We start from the raw sequence: 20,447 nt of genomic DNA, 5'->3' as shown, positions 1-20,447 counted from the left end.
AAACCCTGTCTCTACTAAAAAATACAAAAATTAGCTGGGCATCGTGGTGTGCATCTGTAATCCCAGCTACTCGGGAGGCTAAGAGAGGAGAATCGCTTGAACCCAGGAGGTAGAGCTTGCAGTGAGCCGAGATTGTGCCATTGCACTCCATCCTGGGCAACAAAGAGCAAAACTCTGTCAAAAAAAAAAAAGAAAGAAAAAGAAAAAAGAAAAGAAAGGAAGGAAGGAAGAAAATACAGTATTTGCAGGTTGCAAAACATACTTATAGGGAGGGCCAACTTTTCATATACACAGGTTCTGCAGGGCCAACAGCCAGACTTGGTATGAGTGGATTTTTGTAAACTGGAATGGGGTGGAGGGGGCGCATCCTAAAACCAATCCCCCATGTATATTAAGGGAAGACTGTACTTACTATATCATAGATATCTTTCTAGGTTGTATTTGTTACAGTAATACTAGGTGCTGTAACAGAAAAGCCCTGAAACCTCAGTGGCTTAACATTGAGAAATTTATTTCTTGATCATCTGAGATCACTTGCTTAGGGCAAGGAGAGTACTCCACTCCACAGAGTCACAGAGAGAGCCTGTCATCTTCAACATATGGTTGCCAGCCCACCCAGGGTATTTACTTCCAAACAGACAGCAAACAAGGGAAGAGCAAAAACATTCCACTGGCCAGAGGCACATGGCCACATCTAACTAGAAAAGAGGCTGCAAATTGTAATCTATCTAGCAGGGTGCCCAGAAAGAAAAACAAATGGGATTTGGTGAAGAGCTAGAAAGTCTCTTCTCTACCGCACTCTACCATTCTGGTCCCCAAATAGCCATTTCATTCATCCTCTCACACGCAGAACACAGTGAGTCCCACCTCAAAAGAGGAAAACCAAAGCTAGTCACTGCAGGCAGCTCAAAGACCAGGATTATGAGGTAATGCTCATTTTTCCCCATCGGGGCTAGATATAGCTCCTCAAAGTCTAGTGACCTAGGAACTTTTTGGTTGTCTATTGTCATTTCCCCCACTCTCACATACCAATATTAAAAACACAATAGCGGAGCAGAGACTCAATGAACTTCGCTGTAGAAGGGGAAAGAATGAGAGACACATAGAAGTCAGCGGTCAGCATTCTGAAATCCAGCCGTGCAGATGTGAAGGCCCTCCTCTGGTAGGTCGTCATTTTACTCTCTGGAAGAAACCCTTATCCATGGTTTTCCATCCTCACCCCATCCTCAGCTCCTCCCTCTGGAAGTCCTCCCTTATCCATTATTCTCCTTGGACCCCTTAAGAGAGTGTCTTCCTTAGGGACTACAAAGCTTTCTCCTCTTACTTTCTGAAATGTAAGTTTAAGGGCCTCAAGTTAAGTTTACTCGACTTCAACAGTTTTAGGGCCATTTTCTCAAATCCCCTCAAAAATTTGATGGGTTCTGATCTATTTGTTTCCAGTGAGTTTCATGTACCAGTAACTACATCCAATGTTCTTGTATAGACATAATCCTCATCCTTAATTTCTGTATTTATTTATTTTTGCTTCCTTGTACCATGCTTCTCCAAACCTGAATGACAGTTAAGTTGAAGCCATGAGGGTTAATCTGATCTCAGACTCCTCAAATCTTATTTCTTTCTGATTGGGATTTAAAGAGATTTTGCCAAATTCCTCTCCCAAAGGGTTGTAGCACATTACACCCTAATAAGGTATAAAACTGCCCAGTCTCCTTTATCCTTACCAGCAATGGTACACAGCACAGTGGTTTAGGGTGTGGGCTCTAGAGCTAGACTGCTCGACATTGGATACTAGTTCTATCATCTATTAACTGTTGGCTTACGGACGATGTTCAACTCACCTGCGCCTCACTTTCCACATTTGTGCAAAGGAGATAAAGCAGATATTCTTATCCAAATTTAAAAAATAATTATGGGTGATGAAACTGAGACCCAGAGAATTTGATTTGTTCAAGGTCACACCAATAAGGAGTAAATGACCTAATACACATAAATACTCAGAACATGGCATGTAAGTTCTTAATGAATATGCACTTTTATTTTTTGTTTTCTAATTTGAGGGATTGAAAAATGATACCTCATTATCACCGTCTTTACATTTCCCTTGCTTACTAGTGGAGTTATGTGCTCTTTTGTTTGGATTTTCTCCTCTGTGAATTGCTTCTTCACACCGTTTACTCATTTTTTTCTCATCATGCAATCAGAATATTCTGTATATTAGGGATATTAGCCCATTATCTCTCCTATACATGGCAGGTGTTTTCTCTGTAGTGCAGTTGTGCGATCTTGGCTCACTGCAACCTCTGCCTCCCAGGTTCAAACGATTCTCCTGTCTCAGCCTCCCGAGTAGCTGGGATTACAAGTGCACAACACCATGCCTGGCTCTGCTTTTTTTTTTTTTTTTCTCTGTAATGATTTTTACAAGAGGTTTTTTTTTTTTTTTTTAATTAAAAAAAAATAGAGACATGGTCTCACTATGTTGCCTAGGCTGGGATTATAGGCATGAACCACCATGCCCACCCCCTCCTCATGTTTTACACACACACACACACACACACACACACACACACACACACACACGATTAATGATTAATTAAGCAGAAATTTTATTTAGTAAGATCGACATTTTAATGAAATTGTCTTTTTTTGTTGGGGTTTTTTTGAGACAGATTCTCACTTTGCTGCCCAGGCTGGAGTGCAGTTGCGTGAATACAGCTCACTGCAGCCTCAACCTCCTGGGCTCATGCGATTTTCCTGTCTCAGTCCCCCAAGTAGCTGGGACTACAGGTGCATACCACCACATCCAGCTAATTTTTGCATCTTTTGTTGAGATGGGGTTTCACCATCTTGCCCAGGCTGGTCTCGAACTCCTGATCTCAAGCAATTCACCCACCTCGGCCCCACAAAGTGCTAGGATTACAGGTGTGAGCACAGCACCTGGCCAAAATTGTCTTAATATCCTAGAATTGCCATGTCCCTCCATTTATTTACACTCCGTTTTATAACATCAATAAAATCTTTTTTAGGGACCTTGCACTTTTGTTAAGTTTATTCCCAAGTATTTTTATAGTTGTATCATTAAAGTAGAAAGGGAATATAACTTCCATTTCCATTTTAAACTAGCTATTGTCAGTATAGAAAATGTTATTTTTCTGTCTTTTTTATCCAGCTAGCTTCCCAAATTCTATTATAAATTCAAGTATTTCTTGTACGAGAATCTCACGAGTTTTCAAGGTGTACAATTATATAACCCATAAATACAGATAATTCTTCTAAAATGTTTACATCATTTCATTTTTTCAGCTTACTGCATTAGCTAAGACTTCCAAAGCAATGCTGAATAATAGTGGTGATAAAAGGTATTCTTGTGTTGTTCCTGATAATCTGAATGTGTCAGCCTTTCACCATGTAGTATGATATTGGCTGTTGGCTTTGAAAAATTGTCTTTATCATCATAGTAATTTCTTTCTACTCTCATTTCACTAATCCACTTAGTTTTTATTCAGAACAGCTTTTTTTTTTTTTTTTGAGACAGGGTCTCTCCCTCTGTTGCCAGGCTGAAGTGCAGTGGTGTGATCTCGGCTCACTGCAACCTCCGCCTCCCAGGTTCAAGCGATTCTCCTGCCCCAGATTCCCGAGTAGCTGGGACTATAGGGGCGTGCCACCATGCCCAGGTGATTTTTGAATTTTAATAGAAACGGGGTTTCACCATGTTGGCCAGGATGGTCTTAATCTCTTGACCTCATGATCTGCCTGCCTTGGCCTCCCAAAGTGCTGGGATTACAGGCGTGAGCCACTGTACCTAGCCCAGAACAGCTATTGAATTTTATCAGATGACTTTTTGGCATAGGTTCCCTTCTTTAAGTGATTCAAGTAATGAATTACATTGATAGATTTAGTTATGTTAAAGTAGTTTTATCCGGCTGTACTTTCTCTAACTACTGAATTTTATCTGTTTATATCTAGGACATTTGCATCTATATTCATCTATAAGTGAGATGCTTATAGTTTCATTGTGCTATCTTACCAAATGTTTGCTGAAAGGGGAAAGTGGAATCAAAAAAGAATTTTGTTTTTCAATGAGGATTTTAAAAAATGCTGTTGTTGTTAAGACAGAATGGAACATGCTAAATTGTGATAGAAAGGGTCCACTGGAGGCCAGACACAGTGGCTCACGCCTATAATCCCAGAACTTTGGGAGGCTGAGGTGGGTGGATGGCTTGAGCTCAGGAGTTCAAGACCAGCCTGGCGACATGGCGAAATCCCATCTCTACAAAAAATACAAAAATTAGTCGGGTGTGATGGTTCACGCCTGTAGTCCCAGCTACTTGGGGGCCAGAGGTGGGAAGAACACTTGAACCTAGGAGATTGAGGCTGCAGTGAGCCGAGATAGCGCCACTGCACTCCAGCCTGGGTGACAAAGTGAGACCCTGTCTCAAAAAAGAAAAGAGAAGAGAAGAAAAGAGAAAATAAAGCATCCAGCAGAGAACTTGAAGATGAAGGAGAAAGGATCACTGGTAGTGTGCAATTTCAGAGAAGGTGAAACAGATCCAGAGAACAAATAGGTTATAAAAGGGATGCCTGAATTATGACTGAATGGAAGGGATTCCAATCACTAGATCTAGAAGTTTAGTAGCTAAAAGTTAAGGGAGTTCCCATCTAATAACTTCTATTTTCTCTATTGTAACACTACTTACACTCACAGATATTTTTGTTTATTTATGAGTTTATATATAGCTATTTCAGAGAACAAATGTTGCCATTAATAGAGATATTTTCTTCATGTTATACAGTTATCTATTTTTCAGGACATTTGCAAAATTCTACAAAGACTTAAAAACAACAATTTCACTCTCTCATTCCAGCACTCAATCTCACAGGCAAACAGAAATCCTTGAGTCCTTAATACAAAATCAGACACAAAATATTGCTGTCATAGAAAAATGATTAATTAAGCAGAAATTTTATTTCCAAGCTCTTCAAAGACCGTTGCAAACACGAATAATGTATCCTTCTAAAAAAGTGTCCCAAATTAAATCAAAGGCACATCGTCGAAGTAAAACACTTGTGAAGTTAAGAATTCTTTTAGGTTGTAATATTTTCATGTTAGTTTTTAATCATTTACAATGTTCTGTGGGTCACATTTTAAACATTTTTAAATATATGAAATTCTGTATTTCTTTAAGTACAGCCACAACTACAAAGCAGAGAAACGTAAGAATACAAAAATCAAATCTGCTTCATTTATATACACGATGGGGCAGCCTAATGCACATCATAACATTAACTTTTCCAAAGAAGTTTGCTAAGAATCTGCTCCCATAATTAGTGTTAAAAATAAAGCAATCTTCCCATTTAGAAAAATCAAGACATCAGTTGATTAATAAAGCCTATTCTTCCTCCCAGCAATTTGTACTTTCTGGTCTTCATTTAGGAATTATAAATTCATGACAAAAGAACAAATTTTTTATGGAATAAATAACTTCCAGGAACAACAGTTTATAAGTATTCAGTTGTTTAAATAAACAAAACTATTTTCCTTCCTAAAATGTAAACATCCAGTAAATGAAACATACATGATATTCCAGGTATAGAAATCTTAGTAACTCACTTATGAAAGAGGTGCATTTTGGTATGTTTGGTGGTAAGGTTTTTGTTTATCTTATGTATAAAAGTACTTGCACAAAAAAAACAAGCAGTTATTACTATTTAAAATTCTATTCCTTCACCCAGTTTTCTCACTCAAGTAGAAACTCATGAATATCTGTGATTTTGGCTATAGGACCAGGCCACAGGAAAGGGCTGAAATATCTCTAAAAGTTAGGGAAAAGTGTTTTCTTGAGACTTGAAGGCAGTCATTCATCACTTTGTGCTTGAAGGCATTCCTCAGCAAACTTCTCTCCTACTGGAAAAAGAGTTTGTTTGGTTTTCACTTTAGTAAGATTTCTTTATAAAATTAACTAGTCATCATTTAATAGGGTACTTTAGTATTCACGAAATAGAAAGCAACAGGTGAGCTAGGCGCGGTGGCTCACGCCTGTAATCCCAACACTTTGGGAGGCCGAGGTGGGTGGATCACCTGATATTGGGAGTTCAAGACCAGCCTGACCAACATGGAGAAACCCTGCCTCTACTAAAAATACAAAAAAATTAGCCGGGCATGGTGGCGGGCACCTGTAATCCCAGCTACTAGTGAGGCTGAGGCAGGAGAATCGCTTGAACCCGGGAGGCAGAGGTTGTGGTGAGCTGAGATCGCACCATTGCACTGCAGCCTGGAAACAAGAGCAAAACTCCGTCTCAAACAAAAAAAAAATGAAAGTAACAGGTGAATACAAAAGACATCTAAACCACACCACTGAATGAGCAGCACCCATGAAAGTGCTTTGTAAGGCCGGGCGCAGTGGCTCACGACTGTAATCCCAGCACTTCGGGAGGCCGAGGCAGGCAGGTCACCTCAGGTCAGGAGTTTGAGAACAGCCTGAGCAATACGGTGAAACCTCATCTCTCCTAAACATACAAAAATTAGCCAGGCATGGTGCTGCACACCTGCAGTCCCACCTACTCGGGAGACTGAGGCAGGAGAATTACTTGAACCTGGGAGGTGGAGGTTGCAGTGAGCCAAGATTGTGCCACTGCACTCCAGCATGGGTGACAGAGTGAGACTCCATCTCAATTTAATAAAGAGAAGGAAGGAAAGAAGGAGGGAAGGGAAGGGAAGAAGAGGGGAGGGGAGGGGAGGGGAGGGAAGAAGGAAGCTTTGTAAAAAGAAAAATGCTATGCCAACATAAGACTATTATCTTAACACCATAAATATGAACATTTTCCATTAAAAAGTACAATAAGATTTGATAGATTGCTTCCTTCTTTTAAATGTGAACAATTTCCTTTTGCTACTTGTGAAGAAGGACCTAAGATAATTACTCACTGTATAAACACCCCTTAGAACACATCATTTGAAATATGTTGGTCCCAAAAGACTCTAATAATTCATGCCCTTGTCCTCTTAAAAAAACATTGTGTCACGCCTGTAATCCCAGCACTTTGGGAGGCCAAGGCAGGCAGATCATGAGGTCAGGAGTTTGAGACCAGCCAATTCAAGACCAGCCTAGCCAACATGGTGAAACCCCATTTCTACTAAAATACAAAAAAATTAGGTGGGCATGGTGGCATGCGCCTGTAATCCCAGCTACTCGGGTGGCTGAGGCAGGAGAATTGCTTGAACCCAGGAGACAGAGGATGCAGTGAGCCAAGATCGCGCCACCGCACTCCAGCCTGGGTGACAGAGCAAGATGTCTCGGCGATGAGGGGGGAAACACATTGTGAAAATGACCCCAATACAAAGCATTCGAACCCAAGAAGTTTCTAATATGCCACCAGAGAGGTGTTTTCATTTATCAATTTTTAAAGCTCTTTTAACCCCACTCACACTTTTTCCCAATAGCTATATTTCTTCCTCCATTAAAACAGAGATATATTCTGAAAACCATTGGGAAAGAAATCACAGCGGGTGGTAGGCACACATCTCCCACTCTGGGGAGTCCTTATTCCCAAGAGTAGCAAGTCAGTTGATAGCACTAAGTAGCAAATCCCAACCCTTGGATGCTATAAGGACAGAGAGGGTGGGCTTAAGGTCAAGAAATTACTGGCCAGGTGTGGTGGCTCACACCTGTAATCCCAGCACTTTAGGAGGCCGAGGCGGGTGGATCACCTGAGGTCAGGAGTTCGAGACCAGCCTGACCAATATGGTGAAACCCCATCTCTATTAAAAATACAAACATTAGCCGGGCGTGGTGGCAGGCACCTGTAGTCCCAGCTACTCGGGAGGCTGAGACAAGAGAATTGCTTGAACCTGGGAGATGGAGGTTGCAGTGAGCCAAGATCATGCCACTGTACTCCAGCCTGGGTGACAGAGCGAGACTGTCTCAAAAAAAAGAAAGAAAGAAAGGAAGAAATTACTACCAGCCAACTCAAAGAGCTCAAGTACAGAAGGATGTTGGCATCTCATGACTTAGTGCCAGAGAGACTTCAGACTGTCCTGATTAGATGTATTCTACAGGCAAGGTAAATATACACTAGAATCACACTTCAGGGAAAGTTGTGCATTTTGCTGGCTCTTGTTTTAATTTCCCCAAGAATAGGAGACATTCAAAACTCAGTTGCTCAAGTCCTTTGGGAAGCCCTGTGATAATGCTATGGGCCCAAGACATCATGGTGTATCATTACTCACGAGTCTTCAGAGTAAAGCACAGGATCTAGGCTCCCGGAAGGGGTTACTTCCAGCTGGAACACCCACCAGCAGGGCATCCTTGCAGGCATTCTGCATACAGTACTGTTGAAGCTCTGCAGCTGCCTGAGAGACCTGAAACAAAGGGACAGCAACATGGCACCCTGCTCACAGCCAAGCCACCCGGCAGTCAAGGATATTCTGAAAACGATCATCCAACTTGGTAAATATCAACTTTTTGTGACCTCCAAAAGTCTCTTTCTGCTGAAAGTTCTAATACTTGAACTACAAAGAGAAAAGGTTACAATTTCCATGAACGTCAATTTAGATATTTTTTGGTTTAGTTGCTTATTCAACGAAGACAAGAAAAAGCTGTATCTTTGATCCATTTAGAAATCTAGTTTTGAGACTGAACGGGTAAAGAAATAGCTCATTCTAGCATTCCCTTTACAAATTTTTACTTATATAAAACATGCATCAATATATCCAAGTTTGCCAAATGAGCAAATTGTCTTAATGTTTACAAGTCTGAAGCCTTATTCAGTCTGCTCCAAACAAGTGATAAAGTTCTTCCGCCTTGCTTTTGAGGCGGTATAGCTTATTATTTGGGAGTATAGCCTCTGGAACCAGACTGCGTGGACTCAAATTCAGCTCTGCCACTACCTATATAACCTTGGGCAAGTTACTCAACGTCTCAGTAGCTGCTTCCTCATCTGAGAAATAATTAGAAATAGTAACTCACCTCTCTGGGTTGCTGTAACAATTAAGTGAGTTCACACATATAAAGCTATTAGAATAGCGCTAACATATAGCAATACATTTGTGGTAGACTGCAAACGTGATCACAATAGTTTGCAGCTCCTTCCACGAAGAGGTAGAGTCTATTGACGCACCCCTTGAATCTGGGCTGACTGTGGCTGGGCGCAGTGGCTCACACCTGTAATCCCAGCACTTTGGGAGCCCAAGCGGGGGCAGATCACGAGGTCAGGAGTTCGAGACCAGCCTGACCAACATGGTGAAACCCTGTCTCTACTAAAAAAAAAAAAAAAAAAAAAATTAACCGGGTGTGGTGGCGTGCACCTGTAATCCCAGCTACTCAGGAGGTTGAGGCAGGAGAATCGCTTGAACCCAGGAGGCGGAGGTTTCAGTGAGCCGAGATCGCACCATTGCACTCCAAGCTGGGTGACAAGAGCAAAACTCCGTCTCAAAAAAACAAAAAAAGAAAAGAATCTGGGCTGACTTTGACCAGTAGAATGTGGTAGAAATAAAGGGCAAGTTCCAAGCTAGTCCTCAAGAGTCTCTGCACCTATCTCTCTTGGTGCAGGTGGAACTGTAAGACAACCATCTGAAGGAGCCCAAGATAGCCTCCTGGAGGTCTTGTAGAGGAGAACTGGTAAGCTACAACCAGCACCTGCCTATCAACCTGCAGACCTGTGAGTGAGGCCATTCTCAATCACCCAGACACCAGCCAACACCAGTTAACACTCTATCTGATTGCAGATGCATGGGAGAGCCCAGAAGATCAGCAGAACTGTACACCTGAACCTAGCTCAAATTGTCCATCTAAGAACTGTGAGTATAAATCTTTTAAGCCACTAAATTTTGGGGTGGTTTGTCAGGCAGCAAAAACTAACTGATACAATATCATTATCCCTTTTCTTATCTTCCATTTGATGCATATTTCTACTTGGAGGTTTTCCTCATTGTACTTTTTTTTTTTGCATTAAAAGGCATTTTGAATACAATTCACCCATATTGTACAAAAATGGTTCCAATTGCTGTTCAGGTATTACTACTAGTTTGTGTTAATTTTCCAAGCCTCCAAATAACTGGAAAATTAACTGTTTATGTTACAATTGCTACCAAGTTTCTGGACAGCTCCAGGAATTTTGGTTGCATTAATGTAATGACAGTTTACTCCATATTATATGAATATAAAACCATAATATAATATTACCAGGCTAATGCTAAAGTTTGCTTTTGCTCTCAATAGAAGCTCTGACATTTTCATGTGAATTATAATTGGAATTAATGGTTATATATACCAGTTATTAATTCAAAAGAAATCGAGAATCAATTATGCTCAGGCTTACTATCTTTGCATTGGGGTGGCAGGTAAACTCCACACATGGTAGGTGGAAGGACACTGTCTCCAGGACTCCTGGAGAAATGAGACTAACTGAACTCTAGGCTCAAGAACATGGTCAAAAAGTTAAGGTAAGGGGATACGCAGAGAAAATAAGAGAAGAGTAAACGTGATCAGCATCTCTCTAACACTAGCAAGGGAGAGAGGCTGTGGGCTGGGAGACTATAAGCCCAAATACTTGCAAGCTGTCCCCTGCCATTGGTGGTGGGATAACCTCCACCCAGGTTACCTGACTTTCCTTGGTTTGAGCCCATGTTTACCCAGCAACTTCTGTGAGGCTCCTCTAAAGGAGGAGTTCTTGGAAGGATACCAAGCATTCCTATAGCTGGGAAGGGATGTCCTCTATTATATGCTAGAAAATTGGTGTCCTGGTTTATTTTTCAGATAGCAAGTCTGTCAAAGAGAAGACACCTCTGGCTATGCTAAGCACATCCAACAATGAATGAGGATGTGAGGTAGACCAGACCCTGGAATGGTTGTGACTCTCTAAGGTATTGTCTGAGGGAAGCCCTGCCAAGTACCCCAGATCATACTTCCATGAGCGCACCTCTTAAATAGGCTTATTATCCTATTTGTAAATAAGCTTACTGCGAGCTCAGGCAATTCACCTGAATTATATGGCTCTCAGTTTCATCATCATTTTTAAAAGGTAGATAAGCACATCTTTCCGGCCAGGTGCCATGGCTCATGCCTGTAATCCCAGCACTTTGGGAGCTTGAGGCGGGAGGATCACCTGAGGTCAGGAGATCGATACCAGCCTGGCCAATATGGTGAAACTCCATCTCTACTAAAAATACAAAAAAAAAAAAAAAGCCAATTAGTGGACGTGGTGGCAGGTGCCCGTAATCCCAGCTACTCGGGAGGCTGAGGCAGGAGAATCGCTTGAACCTGGGAGGCAGAGGTTGCAGTGAGCTGAGATCATGCCATTGCACTCCAACCTGGGCAACAAGAATGAAACTCCATCTCAAAAAAAAAAAAAAAAGAATATCTTTCCTCTTTCTTAGCTACTTGGCGGGTAGACAGGCATCTGACTGGCTCACAGTTTTCCTTTCTACCTCATGTCCCCACATTGTCTTTGTGAATTTCCAACAACCCTCATTTCAGTTCCCTGACTTCTTCCCCTCAAACAGCCTTCTCCTCAATGCCAACAGATACAGTTACAACACCTGTAACTGCTCCACTTCTGAAATTTTACACTCCAGTATCCTACTCTCTGATCACAATCTCTCCTTCCCATCCAGGGTGCTGCCTCCTTTATTCTTCCTTTATTCTGCTCTGACCTCACCGAGATCACCAGGCATCACCTCCTCCCCTTCTGTCTCACCTATCACCAGGAGGCTGGCTGCATTCCTTCTCTATCCATCTAGGCTCAGCCTCTTTCTGGCCAGACCTTCACACGCCTTGCCCTCCGGCCCCACCTCCACCTTTCTGGCATACCTCCCCTGCTAACTTACTCCTCTTTCAACTACCGTTCACCTTCAGCACTCACATTCCAGGATGGTAAAGATTGCTGCAGGAAAAAAAAAAAATCACAAATATGACCAGCAGTCTCCCTTGTCACAGCAGCTGGGTCTTCAGTCACAGCGCATCTGCGTGCCTGCTCAGGGGCCACTCCCTTAGTCCCCTTTCCTCTGCCTTAGAAGAAAACCTGGCCTCCTATTTCACAAAGAAAAGTGTCACCATACAAGTTTAGCCCATATCTAGAAACTTATCTTTACACACACCCTTACCTTCTTTCTTCCTGTCTCAGAAGCTGTGCCACCAATCCCCCACCCCCCCGTAGCCCTGTCTCCTCTACCAGCAATTGGCTTCCATTTGTTTCTTCCCTGGAACCTAAAAATATAATTTGTTACTTCCTCTCAACCCTAAAACATGGCTTTTCATTTCCTAAGTTAAAAAAACACGTTATTTCCTCTTTAAAACTAGGTTTCTTTAAAAAGAAAAAACGTCTGCCTACCCTATGACAGTCCAGATTCTGCTTTTACTAACACATAAGCCACCAGACCTCTGCATTCCACAGCCCTCTCTCCCTTTACCCTGTTTATTATCTTCACTCCACTTAGTACATGAAGCGATGCTATGTATCCGTTAAGTTGCTGTTTACCTTCCCCTCCAGAACCACCCTATTCCCTGTAGCAGTGCCAGGCACACAGCAAAGGAGAAACTGAGGCACAGGGACTATCCTGGTTGTGTTCCTTCTTACAGATCTTCTGCAAATAATGCTGCACTCGTAGCTAAACACAGCTCTACAACAGACGCCTTTTAGCCAACTGACTAAACGCTGGACATGTTGACTGAGCCCCCAGTTTTTGGAAATCCCTACTTCCTTGCTCGGAAACCTTGCTGTCTCTTATTTCCTCTTCTCTAGGCCTTGCTCGGAAACCTTGCTGTCTCTTATTTCCTCTTCTCTCGGCCACCGGCCATCGGTGTGGCTGGTCCCCGGGTCCCAGGCTCTGAGCTCTGCTCTTCATAGAAGAGGCTTTTTCGCCCCAATGCACTTGAATGACCTCTTTCAGCCCTGGGCGCTGAGCTTCAGGCCATGAGGACAAATACCTCCCGGATGACTCCCCGGAGTCCCCAGGTCCGCAGCCGAACTCATCATTTCCCCAAACCTGTTCCCCCTCCTCTCTACCTCGGCGGGTGGCAGCGCCGTCCACCCTGTCACGACGACAGAAACCCGAGCATCCTGGCTCTCCTCCCTCTCGCTCTCATCCTACCAATCCATCACCAATTCGCCGCCCTGCGGTGGCCTCCCCAGCCCTGGGTCCACCCTCCCGGCCCGCGCGTCGCCGGCATCCCTTGCGCCCTCCGAGGAACTGACCACGGCCGCCTTCTGGAGTGGGCGCACCCCCAGGGACCGGGACCGACCACGACCGCGGGGCCCCCCAGGCGCGGCTTCCTCCCGTCAGGCCCGGGCCCCCGGCTTGCCCCGCGCCCTCCCTCACCGCGGACCCCACCGCCCCCGCGCCCCGCCGAGGCCTCGCCGCCGCCACCGAGTCCCCCGCTGGCGCCCGGTCCGGGCCGCCGGCCTCCTCTTCTCACGCCCCGCGGGCGGAAGGACCGGAGCGTGGGTACCCGGGGCCCGCACCTTGATCCTCTCCACGCCAGCCTCCAACTTGAGCTGCTCTACCAAGCGCTGCAGGGCGCTCGCGCTAGCCCCGGAGGACATGGCGGCGGCGCTGGGCTCCTAGGGGCTGCTGGGCCCGGCCGGGCGGGGAGGAGCCGCCAGCCCCGAGCGCGGGTGCCGCCCCGGGGCGGGGAAGCAGCTGCGCCCGCCCCGCCGCCCCAGCCCACCCGGCGCGGAGCCGCTTGCCAGAGACAGCGGGGACCCCAGCGAGCTGGCAGTGCTCTCCGCTCCTCAGCGCCTGAAACCTGGGTGGCACCTGCAGCTGGGCCTGGAACCGAGGCGGGGACCCGCAGAGCGCGGCGTCCTCCAGCGAAGCTGGCGCCCCTAGGATGAGCAGGAATCGCGAGGGCGTGGGACGCGAGGATGGAGTGGGCGGCAGCAAACACGCACCCCTGAGAAATGAGAACTGGAGCCAAGGTGTGACATGAGTTGGAGAGATAAGGGGCCTTGCCAGACAGTATCACCGGGGAACCAAGGAGAGTTCATAGGATTTTCATGAGGCAGCAACAGGTTTCTAAATGACCCTGTTACTGTTTCACGGAGATCCTACCAGTTGATTTGGTGGAGTATGGTAAATTGGATAAAATCCCAGACCCTGACATCTTTGTGAAACATACAGAATAAAATTAAATTCAGCGTTTCTCACTCTCATCTCACCATTTAACTGTCATCATTGTTTCTATTCTGCTGCTTTTTTTTTTTTTTTTTTTTTTTTTGAGACAGGGTCTTGCTCTGTCACCCGGGGTGGAGTGCAGTGGCGTGATCACAGCTCCTTGTAGCCTCCACCTCGTGGGCTCAGGTGATCCTCCTGCCTCAGCCTCCTGAGTAGCTGGGACTACAGACACACACCACCACGCCCGGCTAATTTTTGTATTTTTAGTAGAGACGGGGTTTCACGATGTTGGCCAGGCTGGTGTTGAACTCCTGGGCTCAGGTGATCCTCCCACCTCAGCCTCCCAAAGTGCTGGCATTATAGGCCTACTGCATTTTTTAATAAGTGTTTTACAAAACTGGGATCGTTACTATATTTAAAATTTTTGTGTTGCTTTTTTCCATGTATCATTAATACGTCATTATTCTTGTACACCATTGTATTTGTCAGAACTCACTTAAACTGAATATTGCAAAAGGTAATATATTGGCTTGTGTAACTGAAAAGTCCAGGGACTTTAAACTAGTGAATTCAATTACCCAAATAATAATTTTGGGGCTCTCATCCTCCTTGTTTTGATTCTGCTTTTCCTGAGATTAGCCTCATTTTCCTTGGTGGTAGATGGACTTCTCTAGTGGTATGAAGGAAGGCACCACACTTTCACTGTCCCCATCTAGCAAACCCAGGAAAAATAGTACCTCTTTTCTTTCTAATCGTTCCAGCAAAAATCCCCATAATGAACCTCACTGGCTGGTATTAAGTCATGGGCCCACCCCTGGCCCAATTACTCTTTGAAGGCAAGGATGTGTGGCATTGACGTGCTCAGATTAGCTGTGCCTGGGCCAAAGGGAGACTTGCACATTTGAAAGCCCTCTCTAGTGGCCAATTTCCTCACCACAAAGAAATTAATATATATCTTAGTAAAGAGATGAAAGTACATGTTGGGAACATTCAACAATCAATTCTGAGACTGATGAATAGGACAAAATAGAATGATTTCATATTTAAAAGATATGGCAAAGAACTCAGTGCAAAGATATACATACTGGATTAGGAAAGGCTCATCATAGATCGTGAGAGCTGGACTTTGGAGATACGTGTCTTGCAGATGGCTCAGAAGGAAGAACAGTCCAGTATGGAGGACAGCTGGAGGCGATGCACACATGTAGAGTGAATAAATTTAAAAATAGAGGAAGCTCTAGTGACTAATAGCAGATACAAAGTTGCTAGGGCCAGAAGTCATAGAAAACCTCACATACACACAAAAGTTTATGGTAAACAGTGGGATAGCCACAGGGTAAGGCATTTTGGGAATATTAATCTGAGATGAATGTGCAAAATGAACTGAAGTTGAGAAGATAAATGGCTGATGGTGGGGGAGTAGCTGGAATGAGGCCCTGGGTAGGACTGTTAGAGTAGGAATGAGGGGGAACAAATTTAGAAGACAAAATCAGTGGTACTTCATGGTGGTTATGAAATGCAAAGAAAAGAGGACAAAGGGTTCTGTAGCAGAGAGTGGGCCAGAACTAATGCCAAAACAGAAATTAGGAAACAAGACTTGGCTTGAGATGAGTAAAAAATAATGTGGGGTTTGGTTTAGGAGTAACGAAGTGACTTCCATGGCATTGCTACATGCCTTTAGGCTGCTGAAAATGTTTAGTAGCCAAGATGTTAATGTGAAGATGTCTCCACAGCAATGGCAGCTGAAATAATGAGATTACCTCAAAATCATTAGAAATGAAGGCTTTGGAGTTGCCCTCAATGAAGGGACACACGTCAGCCATGTCATACTGTATCAGCCACGAGGTAGCAGGAAAAGTCTAGGGGTGTGCTGTGTCTGCCTCCTTCATGCCCTACACACCCACTGCCCCGCCCACCTCAGTGTTACTTTGCACCGTTCAAGAGGAATGGTCTGTGATCCATGGATAAGCAGGCCGGGCGCCACTTGTACTTGAGGAAGGCTGACCATCTGTGTGATGCTCCACACTTTCCCCACAAGACTTCTCATCCATTATTTTTGCATCATGGAACTTCAAAGTTGAAGGGAACCATCAGATAGTGCGGCGCATCTACAATTTCAGAGATGAGGAAACAGATCCACTAAGGAAAGTGAAGTGACTTGCCCAGTATCACAGAAAGTGGGAGCAGGGAAAAGAATTTCATTTTAGCTTTCAAGAGAATTCAGGCCAGACGCGGTGGCTCACACCTGTAATCCCAGCACTTTGGGAGGCCAAGGCGGGCAGATCACTTGAGGTCAGGAGTTCAAGACAAGTCTGGCCAACATGGTGAAACCCCGTCTCTTCGGGGTTTCTACCACGCCTGGCTAATTTAAAATACAAAAATTAGCCGGGCGTGCTGGCATATGCCTGTAGTCCCAGATTCCTGGGAGGCTGAGGCACAAGTATCGCTTGAACCCGGGAGGTGGGGGTTGCAGTGAGACTGCGCCACTGCACTCCTGCCTGGGCGACAGAACAAGACTCCGTCTCAAACAAAGAACTCAAGGTTTACCTAGAGGACCAGAGGCCTTTCCCACATGTGCTGTGATTTCCAGAGCTCTGGAAGGTGAGGGATGGAGACAGAGTACCCTTCTTTCCTTCTCACTACAGCTAAAATGCATGGGTAACCAGTAGAATATCTTTCAAATTTTGTCACACATTTTTTTCCCTGGTTAAGCACAAACTTATCTCATTTCCAAGAAACTTTCTAGAAATGTCATTACCCTTGTAATGACAAATGTTTCATTTGTTTCCCTGTTAGGAGCTACAGTTCTTCACTCCTCTGACTTGTATTTTATCACCTGTCTACTAACAGTGGATTATTCTTCCAGGAAAGGGGTTTGTGAGTCAATCTTCTCCATAAAAATAATGACATAATGGGAAGATATTTCTGCCAATGTTATATCAAAATGACAATAATATATACCATCTATAGTTTCCAAAATGATTAAGAGTAGGAAAACACATTAATAACTATATCTAATGTGACACAGTATCATGTACTATAAAAATTATTTTACTTCTTTTTGCCTATTACATTATTTTTAGAACCCAGAAATAATGAATCAGGAGCTGAAAGAATCACCAGCAGGTTTGTAGATTCAGAATGGCTTTTCTGGAGAGATTTTCACAGGTACTTTTGAGACTTTGGGAGACGGCAGAACTTAGGGCTATTAGATGTCTTTTTGAGCAACCATTCTAAGCATATCTGTTTGCTACATTGAAAATGTCCCTTCACTAAATGTAGGCCTTAGACTAGCAACTTGCTGATCATTCTGTCATCTCTGAAAGTTTTTCTTTCTTTCCTGAGTCGTCATCTCGGCTGCTCCACCTTGCACACTGGTGGCAACAGGGCAGGCAGCTGCTTTTTAAAATACACAATTCCAACCCTAAGGAGCATCACTCCTTCACTCTAGCACCGTGCCTTGCACAAGGGATTAAAATATGTATTAAAAGAATAAACAATGGGTTTGTAATCATCACAAAACACACTCCTGTTACCATGCTTTTTTTTTTTTTAACAAATGAGACTCTTTGTTATTCCCTCTGAAGGCAAAATAACTCACATTTCCTGATCACTTAATATATGCCAGGCATTTTACCCTTGTTATCGTCTAAGAACTGTCTGAAATAGTATCTTTACATGAAAGAAAACAAGGCTCACAGGTTAAAGTAACCTGCCCAGTCAACCTTGTTCTATCCGGTTATAAAGCCAGAGTCATTCCACTATGTCGTGCTTCGTGAGGTTATAAAGGAGAGACTGTCAGATGACAGAAGTTTCTCCACCCCCGAATGAAACCAGGAAGGAGGAATCTGTGACACTGATCTGAGACCACATGATCCATTCCATACACAATTGTTGAGGATATCCTAAATCCTTTAATAATTACGAAGCTAAGGCCAGACCCTGTAGCTCATGCCTATAATCCCAGCACTTTAAAAGGAGGATCCCTTGAGCTCAGGAGTTCAAGATCAGCTTGAGCAACATAGTAAGACCCCCGACTAAAATAAAAATAAAAATAAATCAAAAAATTAGCCAGCCATAGTGGCATGAGTCCCTGTAGTCCCAGCTACTCAGGAGGCTGAGGTGGGAGGATCATGTGAGCCCAGGAGGTCAAGGCTGCAGTGAGCCATGATCAAGCCACTGCACTCGGCCTGGGCAAGAGATGCTGTCTCCAAAAAAAAAGCTGAAATATGTACAACTATCATATATCAATTAAAAAAGAATTAAGAGGCTAAAGTTTACAACTAATTATGTAGGTTTCTACTGAAATAATTTTATGAAGTAAATTTAATTTAGTTATTAGGTTCTAGATTTGGCCTTTGCCAATATTTAAATGTTAACATCACATTTTATAAATAATTATAATTCATCCATACACAACTAGTTTGTATCAATACCAACATTTATCTATTTGCTTCAAGTGTATAATTCTAAGTCAAAAGAGACCAGGTTTGATTTAATGTTTTAAAGTAGCTAGATTCCATTTATACTATCTAATAAAAGCCACATTATTTTCAGTTTGTGGCCAGCAGTCTGGTTCACACTAGCTGAGTGATACCCTAGCAATTGGCCTCCACTCAAGAAAAATATCTCCAAGGTTTGGGTATTAACAGTTTACTACTGGCCGGGTGCAGTGGCTCACGCCTGTAATCCCAACACTTGGGGAGGCCGAGGTGGGTGGATCACGAGGTCAGGAGATCCAGACCATCCTGGCCAACATGGTGAAACCCTGTCTCTACTAAAAATACAAAAAATTAGCCGGGCGTGGTGGCAGGTGCCTGTAGTCCCAGCTACTCGGGAGGCTGAGGCAGGAGAATCACTTGAACCCAGGAGGCAGAGGTTGCAGTGAGCTGAGATCCTGTCACTGCACTCCAGCCTGGTGACAGAGTGAGACTCCATCTAAAAAAAAAGTTTACTACTAGGCCAGGCGCGGTGGCTCACACCTGTAATTCCAGCACTTTGGGAGGCTGAGGCGGGAGGATCACCTGAGGTCAGGAGTTCAAGACTAGCCTGGCCAACATGGTGAAACCTGTCTCTACTAAAAATACAAAAAATTAGCCAGCCATAGTGGCAGGCACCTGTAATCCCAACTACTTGGGAGGCTGAGGCAGGGAATCACTTGAAACCGGGAGGTAGAGGTTGCAGTGAGCCAAGATCGCACCATTGTACTCCAGCCTGGGTGGCAGAGCGAGACACCATCTCAAAAAAAAAAAAACCAAAAAAACAAAAACCCCTCAAAGTAATGAATTATTATTTTCTAAACATAAATAGTACTAGTTAATTCTCTAAACTGAACCATTCTTTCATGTAACATTTTAAAAATCCTGTATCTCAATGGTCCTATTTAAGAGTAGACCTAATACATGTTATGAAACTGTAACCTATGATTTGTAGAACTTAGAATTCATAAATAAGGCAATGAAGAGTTAGTCATGGAATCTGTTATGAGAATATCTGTTATGCATATAACCTGAAGGGTAATCTTAGCAGACCTCAACTATGTAACACAATGACGAATAGATAGCATTGAACAGCTATGCTCTATAAACCCTTGAATACCAACCAAAAAGGCAATGGGAATAGCCCTAAAATGAAGTTCGAGAAAAATGTTCTAACTAGTGGAGTTGTGGGGTTCTCTACCCAGGATTTTTCTCCAGATGTTTCTAAAATGGAGAGGCTTTTGGGTTTTTGGTGAGGGATGGGCAGGGTACAGATAATAAGGACACCCAGAAGACATGACTGACATTTGTGACAACTAACGGCTCTTCCTTCACCCTAGGATTTTGAAGCATAAGGTCCATCTGTTGAGGGAAGGCAAGAAGAATCAGTTCTTCTCTCGAGCACGGCCCATTCATCTAGACTCACGCAATGACTGTGATTCCAAAAGACTGACCAAACATTACCAAGTGGGCAGGCTACTGGGGACAATTCCGGAAACATTTCTAGGAAGACTGGAAGAAATACAGTAATCTAGCACATATGCAAAAGAATATCAAAAGATGAACTGTTTTCATCAGCCAACCCTTATGAATGCTAACATGTCCAGTCCTCTTACAGTTCGTCGCTAGGTTAATAGAGGCATTCAAAAATTTTGAGAGTCGAGTACTGACATTTCTTTTTGGTCCTCATAATATATGTCACGTACTTATGTTTTTAGGTGGTAAATACCATTGTGTGTTAACTATATAATACATTCACCAGGACAGGGATTGCTGACTCTACCGGCAACCACAGCATCTTTGAAAGGCATTTTGTCTATAGCTAAGAGGTGGGCGTTTGAAGTCTAAAAAACAGTTACCTG

At 43.6% G+C, this 20,447-nt stretch overlaps 2 protein-coding genes across 3 annotated transcripts in view, besides 5 other annotated features; both read right to left on the bottom strand.

Moving 5' to 3' along the window:
- Nucleotides 1-4,944: 4,944 nt before the first annotated feature.
- Nucleotides 4,945-13,566, bottom strand: GNG10 (G protein subunit gamma 10). 2 transcript variants are annotated; one of them, NM_001017998.4, is made up of 3 exons: nucleotides 13,456-13,566; nucleotides 8,225-8,356; nucleotides 4,945-5,902 (listed from the first exon to the last, which is right to left on the bottom strand). In NM_001017998.4, exons 1-2 carry the CDS (start codon nucleotides 13,534-13,536, stop codon nucleotides 8,231-8,233), a joined length of 207 nt encoding a protein of 68 aa, NP_001017998.1. In that variant the 5' UTR covers nucleotides 13,537-13,566; the 3' UTR covers nucleotides 4,945-5,902; nucleotides 8,225-8,230. The 2 variants fall into 2 exon arrangements, with proteins under 2 accessions (NP_001017998.1, NP_001185593.1); NM_001198664.2 differs by having other exon boundaries at nucleotides 4,945-5,899.
- The window catches only part of DNAJC25-GNG10 (DNAJC25-GNG10 readthrough), a 38,893-nt gene continuing 23,390 nt past the window's right edge, over nucleotides 4,945-20,447 (bottom strand). The window contains exons 2-3 of the mRNA NM_004125.4: nucleotides 8,225-8,356; nucleotides 4,945-5,899 (exon numbers count right to left, since the gene is read on the bottom strand). Of these exons, the coding sequence (NP_004116.2) occupies nucleotides 8,231-8,356 (126 nt within the window). The 3' untranslated portion in view covers nucleotides 4,945-5,899; nucleotides 8,225-8,230. The remainder of the gene's footprint in view (nucleotides 5,900-8,224; nucleotides 8,357-20,447) is intronic.
- Nucleotides 12,506-12,555: an enhancer, noted in NCBI's record as "active region_28798". NCBI's record gives its function as "activates an Ori minimal core promoter by ATAC-STARR-seq in GM12878 lymphoblastoid cells {active_cell/tissue: GM12878}" and the evidence as "EXISTENCE:reporter gene assay evidence [ECO:0000049][PMID:35858748]".
- Nucleotides 12,756-12,855: an enhancer, noted in NCBI's record as "active region_28797". NCBI's record gives its function as "activates an Ori minimal core promoter by ATAC-STARR-seq in GM12878 lymphoblastoid cells {active_cell/tissue: GM12878}" and the evidence as "EXISTENCE:reporter gene assay evidence [ECO:0000049][PMID:35858748]".
- Nucleotides 13,146-13,265: a silencer, noted in NCBI's record as "silent region_20183". NCBI's record gives its function as "represses an Ori minimal core promoter by ATAC-STARR-seq in GM12878 lymphoblastoid cells {active_cell/tissue: GM12878}" and the evidence as "EXISTENCE:reporter gene assay evidence [ECO:0000049][PMID:35858748]".
- Nucleotides 13,296-13,745: a silencer, noted in NCBI's record as "silent region_20182". NCBI's record gives its function as "represses an Ori minimal core promoter by ATAC-STARR-seq in GM12878 lymphoblastoid cells {active_cell/tissue: GM12878}" and the evidence as "EXISTENCE:reporter gene assay evidence [ECO:0000049][PMID:35858748]".
- Nucleotides 13,926-13,985: an enhancer, noted in NCBI's record as "active region_28796". NCBI's record gives its function as "activates an Ori minimal core promoter by ATAC-STARR-seq in GM12878 lymphoblastoid cells {active_cell/tissue: GM12878}" and the evidence as "EXISTENCE:reporter gene assay evidence [ECO:0000049][PMID:35858748]".

The sequence above is a fragment of the Homo sapiens genome, chromosome 9 (assembly GCF_000001405.40).
Source record: "Homo sapiens chromosome 9, GRCh38.p14 Primary Assembly".
NCBI classification, from domain to species: domain Eukaryota; kingdom Metazoa; phylum Chordata; class Mammalia; order Primates; family Hominidae; genus Homo; species Homo sapiens.
Note: the sequence above shows the minus strand (reverse complement) of the source record. Positions and strands in the feature narration are given on the sequence as shown.